Here is a 12,144-nt window from a genome sequence, read left to right on the forward strand (position 1 = left end):
TAGAGATGGGGTTTCACAATGGTGCCGACTCCTGGGCTCAAGTGATCTGCGCAACTTGGCCTCCCGAAGTGCTGGGATTACAGGTGTGACCCACCACACCTGGCCAACCCCAACCCCCCCCGCCTTTTTTTTTCTGAGACAGAATTTCGCTCTTTGATCCAGGCTGGTGGGAAGTGGCATGATCTTGGCTTACTGCAACCTCTGTCCCCTAAGTTCAAATGATTCTCCTGTCTCAGACTCCAGAGTAGCTGGGAGTAGCTAGGATTATAGGTGCCCGCCACCAGGCCTGGCTAATTTTTGTGTTTTTAGTAGAGATGGGATTTTGTCATGTCGCCAGGCTGGTCTTGAACTCCTGACCTCAAGTGATCCACCCACCTCGGCCTCTCAAAGTGCTAGGATTATGATATGAGCCACTGCACCCAGCCAAACCCCAACTTTTTTTTTTTTTTTTTTTTGAGACCGAGTTTCACTCTTGTTGCCCAGGCTGCAGTACAGTGGCACGATCTCTGCTCACTGCAACCTCTGCCTCCTGGGTTCAAGCGATTCTCCTGCCTCAGCCTCCCGAGTAGCTGGGATTATAGGCAAGTACCACCACCCCTGGTTAATTTTTGAATTTTTAATAGAGATGGGGTTTCACCATGTTGACCAGGCTGGTCTCAAACTCCTGACCTTAGGTGATCCACCCACCTTGGCCTCCCAAAGTGCTGGGATTACAGGCGTGAGCCACCATGCTCGGCCACCCCAAATCTTTCTTTCTTTTTTTTTTTTTTGAGATGGAGTCTATCTGTTACCCAGGCTGGAGTGCAGTGGTGTGATCTCGGCTCACTGCAACCTCCACCTCCCGGGTTCAAGCGATTCTCCTGCCTCAGCTTCCTGGTAGCTGGGATTACAGGCACTCGCCACCACGCCCAGCTAATTTTTGTACTTTTAGTAGAGATGGGGTTTCACCATGTTGGCCAGGCTGGTCTCAAACTCCTGACCTTGTGATCTGCCCACCTCGGCCTCCCGAAGTGTTGGGATTATAGGCGTGAGCCACTGCACCTGGCCACCCCAACTCTTAAACAAAAAAAATTTGGCCAGGCTGATCTCGAACTCCTGGCCTCAGGTGATGTGCCCTCCTTGGCCTCTCAAATTGCTGGGATTACAGGCATGAGCCACCATGCCTGGCCCACACGTTTAAAATTTAAAAAAGCGGCTGAGCCAGGTGGATCACCTGAGGTCAGGAGTTCGAGACCAGCCTGACCAACATGGAGAAACCCCGTCTCTACTAAAAATACAAAATTAGCCGGGCATGGTGGCGCATGCCTGTAATCCCAGCTACTCTGGAGGCTGAGGCAGGAGAATGGCTTGAACCCGGGAGGCAGAGGTTGCTGTGAGCTGAGATCACGCCATTGCACTCCAGCCTGGGCAACAAGAGTGAAACTCCGTCTCAAACAAACAAACAAAAAATTTCAAAAAGCAACCTATGAAATATCAGTAAACACTTTCCAGAATAGCTACAATTCAAAAGACTGACTAAGTGTTGGCGAGTACGTGTAGTGACTGGAACGCTCAGGTTTTGCTGGACCTAGTGAAAATTTGGCTAAGTACTGTAGAGGTCAAGGGGATACTTTCCCTTCCCCCTCTGAAGGCACACTGAAAATCAACTGACAGTAGGACAGATTATTATTATTATTACTATTTTGAGACAAAGTCTCACTCTCTCACTCAGGCTGAAGTGCATTGGCATGATCTCAGCTCACTGCAACCTCCACCTCCCGGGTTCAAGCGATTCTCCCACCTCAGCCTCTCAAATAGCTAGGACTACAGGCGCCCACCACCACACTCAGCTAATTTTTGTATTTTTAGTAGAGACAGGATTTCTCCATGTTGGTCAGGCTGGTCTTGAACTCCTGACCTCAGGTGATCCACCTGCCTCAGCCTCCCAAAGTGTTGGGATTACAGGTGTGAGCCACCATGCCTGGCCTGAATTTATTTATCTGCTTGGTTAGCAGGTATTTTGACCAACGTGATTTAGCTGATGAGCTATCTTGATGTAGCTGATCTCTCAGGGATGGAAGATATTTCTCAAAAAGGCAGCCTAACTATGAGGAAACACAATGTCAATTCAGGTACAGATTGCATCACATCCTTAATACTATGTGAAGGGTTCTCATCTTAACCTGTGCAACTCAAATTGATACTCAGAATATAGATTGCATTGATTAGATGTTTGAAATATCAATGGAAAATCCCACCCACTTTTTGATGAACAGTATGAACAGTTTTTTGTAATCACATGCATTTAAAACAAGTTGAGTGTCATTTATTGGTGAAGCAGCCTGCGTAGAAACTGCATGATGAACAGCTGGGCACAGTGGGTCATGCCTGTAATCCCTGCACTTTGAGAGGCTGAGGTCAACAGATCACTTTAGGCCAGGTGTTTGAGACCAGCTTGGTCAACATGGCAAAACCCCATCTTTACAAAAAACACAAAAATTAGCTGGGTGTGGTGGTGCACACCTGTGGTCCCAGGTACTTGGGAGGCTGAAGTATGAGAATCGTTTGAACCCAGGAGGCCGAGGTTGCAGTGAGTGGAGATCATGTCACTGTATTCCAGACTGGGCAACACAGCAAGACCCTGTTTCTACTGCAAAATAGAAAAATCAGCCAGGTGTGGTGGTATGTACCTGTAGTTCCAGCTATTCTGTAGGCTGAGGTGGGAGGATCAACCGAGCCCAGGAGGTGGAGGCTGCAATGAGCTGAGATCATGCCACTACACTCCAGCCTGGGTGACAGAGTGAGACCCTGTCTCAAAAAACAAACAAACAAAACAACTTACTTTGGGATGTTATAGAGGGCCCCTGTGGCATCCAAAAGAGAGATAATAAACAAGTTTTTTGATATGTTAAATTACATATCAGGTATTGTCAAAAAAGAAATTACTGAGTAAGAAATGATGTTTAGGCCGGGCGCAGTGGCTCACGCCTGTAATCCCAGCACTTTGAGAGGCCGAGGCAGGCGGATCTTAAGGTCAGGAGATCGAGACCATCCTGGCTAACACGGTGAAACCCCGTCTCTACTAAAAATAGAAAAATATAGCTGGGTGCGGTGGCGGGCGCCTGTAGTCCCAGCTACTCGGGAGGCTGAGGCAGGAGAATGGCATGAACCCGGGAGGCAGAGCTTGCAGTGAGCCGAGATCACACCACTGCACTCCAGCCTGGGCAACAGAGCGAGACTTCATCTCAAAAAAAAAAAAAAAAGGAAAAAGAATTGTTGTTTAACCAAGTTATATTTTTATGGATATGTTATTAATATGTATTCCAAAACTGTATGAGATTCCTAAAATTCTGATATATCTTGGTATGTTATTAGTTATATTTATGGTTATTATGTTAAATTATTGTAGAACACAGAAATAACCAAATTTTCTTGCCAATTTTGACTTTTGATTTTAACTTTTGACTTTATGATTTTAAGTGATTTTTTTTTTTGAGATAGGGTCTTGCTCTGTTGCCCAGGCTGGAGAGCAGTGATGCAATCTCAGCTCACTGCAGCCTCCATCTCCTGGGTTCAAGTAATTCTGGTGCTCAGCCTCCTGAGTAGCTGGGATGACAGGCATGCCCCACCACCCCCGGCTAATTTTGTATTTTTAGTAGAGTCGGAGTTTCTCCATGTTGCTCAGGCTGTTCTCGAACTCCTGACCTCAAGTGATCTGCCTGCCTCAGCCTCCCAACGTGCTGGGATTACAGGCGTGAGCCACTGCACCTGGCCCAACTGTCATTTTATTAATACGTATATAAGAAGAACTATAGTTTATGCCCTGACAAATGTATATCCTACTAAAGAAGGGTAATTAAGCTTCTCTCTCTCTCTCTCTCTCTCTATATATATATATATATATATGTATGTATATAGATGTATGTGTGTATATATATATATACACGTGTGTGTGTGTATCAGAGACAGGGCCTCACTCTGTCACCTAGGCTGGTGTGCAGTGGTGTGATCATAGCTCACCACAGCTTTGAACTCCTAAGCTGAAGTGATCCTCCTGACTCAGCCTCCTGAGTAGCTGGGACTACAGGTGCACGACACCTCACCCTGCCAATGTTTTTATTTTTTGTAGAGACAAGGTCTCACTTTGTTGCCCAGGCTAGTCTGAAACTTCTGGCTTCAAGTGATCTTCCTGCCTCTGCCTCTCAAAGTGCGGGATTACAGTCTTGAGCCACTGCACCAGGCTCCCAGCTCCTACTTTAAAAAACCCACAAACAAATGGAAGCATAAAGTACAGTGTTCTACCCTTTACTCTTCTTTTTTCACCTATGTATTTCCAATTACATATATATGTATTTCCAATGACACACAGTAATGTTATTGTAATAACTTGAGTTTGCATTCTTTTAAAAAAATTTTTTTTTTGTAGAGACAGGGTCTTGCTATGTTGCCCAAGCTGGTCTCCAACTCCTGGGCTCAAGTGATCCCCCTGCCTTGTCCTCCCAAAGTGCTGGGATTACAGGCGTGAGCCACTGCACCCAAAGAGTTTGCATTCTTCAGCGGCTATGCAATGTTTTGCACCTAGAAGAAATCCAAGGTATTCTCAATAGAACTATAGACTTTCAGTGCTAGAAAGATATTTAGAGATCAGCAAGTCCACCTCTTATTTTACAGATAATTAATGTACAGAAAGTCAAAATGACTTCCCTAAGGTCTTACACCTACTAATAAAGAAAGGAATGAGTGAGCCAACTTAAAGGAACATTCACATATAGAGTTAAAATGTTAAGCCATTACAAGTGTAAAAGTAAATAGGATTGCCTGTAGTGGTAACTAGTATCTGTACAGTGTATTCCAGTTTAAAATGTGATCTCACATCCATTAGGTCACATAATGTTCCCAAAGCTCACAGGCAACCTTTGTCTCCATTTTACTGGAAGTAAAACAAGCAGGAATGTGGATTTTTTTTTAAAGGCTACCCAAGTGAAGCAGTGGGAGTGGAGAAGGAACAAAGAAATCTGTAACTGGTTGTGATCAATGAGTTGTAAACACTACTGCACTAGGACAAGCCTGTGGATTTTTTTTTTTTTTTAAAGCAGGCTTTAAACATAGCGAAATTTGGCCGGGCGCAGTGGCTTACGCCTGTAATCCCAGCACTTTGGGAATCCCCGGACGGGCGTATCACGAGGTCAAGAGATCGAGACCACCCTGGCTAACACGGTGAAACCTCGTCTCTACTAAAAATAGAAAAAAATTAGCCAGGCGTGGTGGCAGGTGCCTGTAGTCCCAGCTATTCGGGAGGCTGAGGCAGGAGAATAGCATGATCCCAGGCGGCTGAGCTTGCAGTGAGCTGAGATCGCGCCACTGCACTCCAGCATGGTCGACAGAGCGAGACTCCGTCTCAAAAGGAAAAACAAAACAAAACAAAACAAAATTAACCGGGCGTGGTGGTGGGTGTCTGTAATCCCAGCTACTCAGGAGGCTGAGGCAGGAGAATCGCTTGAACCCGGGAGGTGGAGGTTGCAGTGAGCCGAGATCACGCCATTGCACTCCAGCCTGGGCGAAAACAGTTGAGACTCCGTCTCAGGAAAAATAAAAAAAAAAAAAGCGAAATTTGATCTGTCTTTGGGCCTGTGAAAGATAATCCTAAAGTGCTCTTGAAAAAAAAATGCCACTGAGACACACAGATGGAAAACCAAGAAATACAAATGGACTTACAAAACAATCAAGGCCACATTGCATTCGCAACGCATCACAACACTGCATTGGGTGAAAGTGACATGGGTCAGTCCCAGATACTCAAAACAAAAATGAAGTTGGTTCTATCATTTGGAACATTTTTGCTGGAGGTAGTGCTGGCACGATTCGAACGACTTGTTTTGCACAAGTGGGTCAATGCACATTTTTTTTTTTTTTTTTTTGAGACGGAGTTTTTGCTCTTGTCGCCCAGGCTGGAGTGCAGTGGCGCGATCTCGGCTCACTGCAACCTCCGCCTCCCGGGTGCAAGCGATTCTCCTGCCTCAGCCTCCCATGTAGCTGGGACTACAGGCGCCCGCCACCACGCCTGGCTAATTTTTGTATTTTTAGTAGAGACGGGGTTTCACCACGTTGGCCAGGATCGTCTCAATCTCCTGACCTCGTGATCCGCCTGCCTCGGCCTCCCAAAGTGCTGGGATTACAGGCGTCAGCCATCGGACTCGGCCTAAGGGGCAATGCACTTTTTTTGCAAAGTCTGATAATTGCACTTATGTGAGTGCATACACGTGCCTGTGTGATGCACTCTTAGCTCTGGAAGCTGGCTTCATACCACCCGACGGCATTTGCTCTGTGACTGCCTACGGGTTGGGGTACGTTCCCTCCCCCGCCCTGCCACTTCGTGGCAGGCTTCGTGTCTCTCAAAGCCACGCAGGGACATTGCCCAGGTTCCTGCACCCACCCAAATTCTAGGAGGAACAGGGCGGAGGCTGACATCGCGCATGCGCCTCAGCGCACGCCGGCGCAGCCTCTCTCCTTCCTCATCGCCTCGCGCTCCCACCCCACCCCGAGAGCAAAGGAGGGAAGCGATTGGGCACGCTAGTTGTCCATCAGACCAGGCTCTCTTCTCCCTCAACACCATTGGCAGACGGAGAAAAGGCCAGTCCGCCGAGGTCTTCCTACCCCTTGGAGACTCAGCGCCACCGCGGAAGCAGCTATTGGCGGAGGCCAGGGGCCGCGACTGCTCACTTCCGGCGCGGGCCTAGACGATTTCTCCCCCTCCCCCGCCCTCCGCCTTCCCACCCCCCGCCCTTCCACTATGGCCGCTTCTGTGTGGTGTGGGGAGACGCTGGTCCTCCCCGTCCTCCCATAGCGCTTATTGCCTCACCCTCACCCCCTAGGGGCCGGATCCAAAGGCGCTGCACTCCCCAAGCCTTGGGGCATCAGCCAGGAAGGTTTCCTACCTCCTAATTCAGGGGCAGGACTCCTCTTTTCCCCCCACGGGGAAAAGAGGCAGAAACTTAGGGGTTTCCCTCCTTTCTTAGGGTCAGACGCTCTTAGGGTCCACTTCTTCAGGGGCGGAAGCCTCTCCTACCCTTCCCATAGGGACACAGGCCTTTACCCCACTGTACTTCGGAGCCAACGCCTTTCCCTCAGCACTGCCACCCCAGAGTCAGGACCCAGAGGACTGTGCCTTCGCCCCCAACGCAGGCGCGGCCTTTTGGAGAGGAGGGAGGAGTGGAGAGGACAGGGGCCCTTGCTCTCCCCTCCCCAACTTGTTCCTCTTGCCCCCCAGTCCCTGGCAATCCAGAGATCCCGATATCTAGGACTGTCCATCCATCCACTCCCTGACCTTTTCCCGGCTCCTGGCTGCAGCCATGGAGTTGCAGAAGGGAAAAGGGGCGGCAGCAGCAGCAGCTGCTTCGGGAGCAGCGGGAGGTGGAGGAGGAGGAGCGGGAGCAGGAGCCCCAGGAGGGGGGAGGCTGCTACTTTCAACCAGTTTGGATGCCAAGGATGAGTTAGAGGAGGTAGGTGTGGGGGGAGGGAAGGGAGTTAAGAAATTGGGTTTTGGAGGGATACTGGAGCGGATACCGGGTGGGAGGACGGGGGGTGGGGGCGGGGGTGGAGGCTTTCAAGTTTTTTGTGAAGTAACACAAACACTGCTCCAGCTTCCTGCTCCTGAGGGAAGAAATGTGGGCCAACTTCCTGGACAGGTTGTCATAGTAACAGCAGCCACTAGTATGAAAATGGGTGGGGGGTGTTGGTGAAGGAAGGGATACAACATCCAGGTTTACCGAATTTATTTTTGACATTCCTTTCGACATACACACCCCAGCTATTTTTACTATCAACCCTGTTTCAGACTTAGGTCAATATATTGAGTTGAGATGTAATGTATGTCTGTGTAGATGTTTGGGGGCTGGTAAGAGCTGGCAGTAGACCTTGGACCCTCCTGTTAGATGCTATCATTGACTTCGTGTAGACACAACCAATTGCCAGTGATGTTAACTGGGCATCTAGAATGAGTGAAGACTTAAGAAAAGTGAGTAGTGTTTAGTTTGGTGGCATCAGCCACTGTAGTGGGGTGAATGGTACCTAGGGGATTCTCCTTCAGAACCAGATAGCACACACACAGGAGAGAACACATCGCTTCTGAAAAAGAAGGTGGAGCGAAGAAATGGAATGGACCTGAATGAGGACTTCAGGGGACCTGATAGTTGCCCCTCCTGTCCTCTTACCCAGCTTTCTCATTCTGCCATCTCAGAGTTGATCACGTATACCTTTCCACTCCTACAAACGAGAATATGTACTTAAGAATATGAGATCTAGGCTGGGTGCGGTGGCTCACGCCTGTAATCCCAGCACTTTGAGAGACCGAGGCAGGCGGATCACAAGGTCAAGAGATCGAGACCATCCTGGCCAACATGGTGAAACCCCGTCTCTACTAAAAATGCAAAAATTAGCTGGGCATGGTGGCTTGTGCCTGTAATCCCAGCTGTTTGGGAGGCTGAGGCAGGAGAATCGCTTGAACCCGTGGGCAGAAGTTGCAGCGAGCCAAGATTGCGCCACTGCACTCCAGCCTGACGACAGAGCGAGAGACCCCGTCTCAAAAAAAAAAAAAAAAAGAATATGAGATCCAGAGCTGAGACGTGATTGCTTAACTGTTTGTAAGGCCTAATATTCAACTCGGTGGTTATCCAGGGACAGGATGAGTACATTAACAGGCCTTAGCTCTTCACTGGCTGTTTCCCAGCTTCTAACTTTATCAGCTATTAGAGGGTGGGCAGGCAGACAGGTGAAATTCAGAATTTAGATTTGAAAAAATGGGTCAGATACAAGATGGTAGAACATACATGCCAAAATGAACTTTGTGAATCAAGAAGTGGCTGGATAGTAACTTTGTGGATTTTCCACCAGCAAATGTCTACTTGCAGTCTGCCTTCCCGTCATGCTTTTCCCTCATAATTCTGTGGGCATTCAGGTAAATCAGTTTGTTTTCTGCTGTCTGTAGTTATCAGCTAAGGTAGATATAATTATGAATGTGAACAATGTATTCCCAAAACAGGTGAGAATGACTTTAGGACTGCCTGGCAATTGGAATTATTTACTTTTTAAGAAATGGCCACTGTCATTGTCAAAACATTTCTTGATCCCTGTGTACTAACACTGGAGCTCTAGAAGTATAGAAAGTCAATAATGGACTGCCTTTGATCCCTCCATCAGTTTGAGTGGAGGGCAAAAGACCCAGGGGTTGAAATCCCCACCCTGATTCTTAGAGGCGTCATTGTGTCTCTGCTTTAATTCAATTCACTGAATAGTACAGCATCCTGTTCTTCTGAGCAGTGACGTGTTTGCTACTAAATGAAATGATGCAGCAGGAGGGGACCATCGAAGAGGGGAAGCATGCATTTTCTGGCTTTTTTTATACTGAGAGTGAACTTCCAACTGTTTCCAGGGAAAAGGGGGAGGGAGGGTCTTTCTTTTTTTCTGATCTCCATAATGTGGATGTTTCCCAGTATGTCTCAAGCTCCCCCTTCTTTGCCCTTTGTCCTTTGCATTTGAATTTTCTAGCAAGACTTGCCACACTATTTTTTTCCCAATGTGTGTGGTTCGGTTATCCCCACTAGACCAGAGGGTCTCTAAGGGCAAGACTTACTGGCTTCTTCCTCTGGGTCTCCCCACAGATCTCTGCACACAGAAGTTATGAAAACTTGGTGTTGATCGACTGACCTCTGCTTGTTCTGGCTTGGTTATTTTCCCATCACAGACCTACCTATTGCCCAGGAACACAGAGGTAGTTTCCTGACCATATATGCTTACTGTGTGCTGGGTCTGATAGGAAAACAGGTTGGAGGACATCCAAGGTCTGCCTTTCGAAGCTTATCATCTAATGGCTTCATTTAACACGCCCACAAGAAGGTAAAAAAACAAAAACAATAAACAAAAGAAACTAGTTAGAGTAGTGAAGAGACAGGTCATTATAATTGGGTGTGATTAGGAAAGACCTTTAGAGATTTGGAGTAGGAAGCACTGGTCAAGAGCATCCCAGGCAGGAACTCTTAACTCTACTACCCTAGGGAACATTTGGTATATCCTTTCTTCTCTTTGGCCCTGTTTTTCCCTTTGAAGGCGGAAGTCTTCTTGCCCATTCCCATCCCAATTTGGGGAGGGAATGAGATAAAAATAGTGCCAGAGATTGAAGGAGTTTAGAACATGTAGTTCCTAATCTCATGAGCCTTGGTAGCTCCTGGTTTTTCTTCTGCCAAAGAGGGACCAATCACTTTTAAATCAGGCTGAAAGTGGGAGGCCCAAGAGCGTCCTCTTTTTTTTTTTTTTTTTTTTTGAGATGGAGTCTCACTCTGTCGCCCAGGCTGGAGTGGTGCAGTGGTGGGATCTTGGCTCACTGCAAGCTCTGCCTCCCGGGTTCACACCATTCTCCTGCCTCAGCCTCCCGAGTAGCTGAGACTACAGGCGCCTGCCACCACGCCCGGCTAATTTTTTGCATTTTTAGTAGAGACAGGGTTTCACCATGTTAGCCAGGATGGTCTCTATCTCCTGACCTCATGATCCGCCCACCTCGGCCTCCCAAAGTGCTGGGATTACAGACTTGAGCCACCGCACCTGGCCCCGCGTCTTTTTTTAACTTTTTTTTTTTTTTTTTTTTTTTTGAGACAGAGTCTCCCTCTGTCGCCCAGGCTGGAGTGCAGTGGCGCGATCTTGGCTCACTGCAACCTCTGCCTCCCGGGTTCAAGCGATTCTCCTGCCTCAGCCTCCAGAGTAGCTGGGATTACAGGCACTACCACTCCTGGCTAATTTTTGTATTTTTAGTAGAGATGGGTTTCACCATGTTGGCCAGGCTGGTCTCGAACTCCTGACCTCAGGTGATCCACCTGCCTTGGCCTTCCAAATTGCTGGGATTACAGGCATGAGCCACCGAGCCTGGCCAGAGCTTCCTCTTAAGCGCTGGATAGGTCTCAGGGTTGCATTTGGTTAGAGGTATGTCTCTACCTGGTTTTCCCCAAGGAATAATTCATATACATATGTGAGGAGTCTCCAGGGACTGGGCTTTGAGTCACTTCTAGTTTTTGTCCCCTTACAAATCATAATTTCATATACCAGTGACTCATGGTTGTGGAATACTTTGAACGCAGCTTGTTCAATAACTCCTCACCTACGTGAGTCCTTGGGGATTTTTTTTTTTTTTTTAAACGGAGTTTCCCTCTTGTTACCCAGGCTGTAGTGCAATGGCGTGATCTCAGCTAACTGAAACCTCTGCCTCCTGTGTTCAAGCGATTCTCCTGCGTCAGCCTCCCAAGTAGCTGGGATTACGGAAGCCCACCACCACACCCAGCTACTTTTTTTGCATTTTTAGTAGAGACGGGGTTTCACCACATTGGCTAGGCTGGTCTCAAATTCCTGAACTCAGGTGATCCACCTGCCTCGGCCTCCGAAAGTGCTGGGATTACAGGCGTGAGTCACTGTGCCTGGCCATCCTTGGGGATTTTATGAGTTAGATTGTATATTCCTTTTCTGAAAATGAGGAATTTAGTCTTTTTTTTTTTTTGAGATGGAGTCTCACTGTGTTGCCCAGACTGGAGTGCAGTGGCATCATCTCGGCTCACTGCAACCTGCACTTCCCAGATTCAAGCGATTTTCCTGCCTCAGCCTCCTGAGTAGCTAGGAGTAAAGGCACGCACCACCATGCCCGGCTAATTTTTTTGTATTTTTAGTAGAGACAGGGTTTCACCATGTTGGTCAGGCTGGTCTTGAACTCCTGACCTCGTACACCATGTTAGGCTGGTCTCGAACTCCTGACCTCATGATCCACCTACCTCGGCCTCCTAAAGTGCTGGGATTACAGGAATGAGCCACCGTGCCGGGCCAGAATTTAGTCTTTTAAGGCCACTGACTTCCCATAGGGAGCAGTATTTACCGAATGCTTTTTTTTTTTTTTTTTTTTTTTTTTTTTTTTGCAGATGCAGTCTTGCTCTGTCTCCCAGGCTGGAGTGTAGTGGTGCGATCTCGGCTCACTGCAACCTCCGCCCCCTGGGTTCAAGCGATTCTCCTGCCTCAGCCTCCCAAGTAGCTGGGACTGCAGGTGTGCACCACCACGCCCAGCTAATTTTTGTATTTTTAGTAGAGATGGGGTTTCACCATGTTGTCCAGGCTGCTCTCGAAGTCGTGACCTCGTGA

At 48.0% G+C, this 12,144-nt stretch overlaps 1 protein-coding gene across 2 annotated transcripts in view, besides 1 other annotated feature; it reads left to right on the forward strand.

Moving 5' to 3' along the window:
* Positions 6,510-6,681: a silencer, noted in NCBI's record as "fragment chr1:153700292-153700463 (GRCh37/hg19 assembly coordinates)". NCBI's record gives its function as "represses an EF-1alpha promoter that drives an FKBP-Casp9 reporter gene in an ReSE screen in HepG2 liver carcinoma cells {active_cell/tissue: HepG2}" and the evidence as "EXISTENCE:reporter gene assay evidence [ECO:0000049][PMID:32094911]".
* INTS3 (integrator complex subunit 3) overlaps positions 6,744-12,144 on the forward strand; it is a 46,759-nt gene continuing 41,358 nt past the window's right edge. Inside the window, exons 1-2 of one of the 2 annotated variants that reach the window (NM_001324475.2) lie at positions 6,744-6,905; positions 7,247-7,478. In NM_001324475.2, the coding sequence (NP_001311404.1) occupies positions 7,329-7,478 (150 nt within the window). In that variant the 5' untranslated portion in view covers positions 6,744-6,905; positions 7,247-7,328. Of the gene's footprint in view, positions 7,479-12,144 lie in introns of both variants that reach the window. The other variant, NM_023015.5, reaches the window with a different exon arrangement.

This window comes from Homo sapiens, chromosome 1, assembly GCF_000001405.40.
Source record: "Homo sapiens chromosome 1, GRCh38.p14 Primary Assembly".
Taxonomy (NCBI): Eukaryota; Metazoa; Chordata; class Mammalia; order Primates; family Hominidae; genus Homo; species Homo sapiens.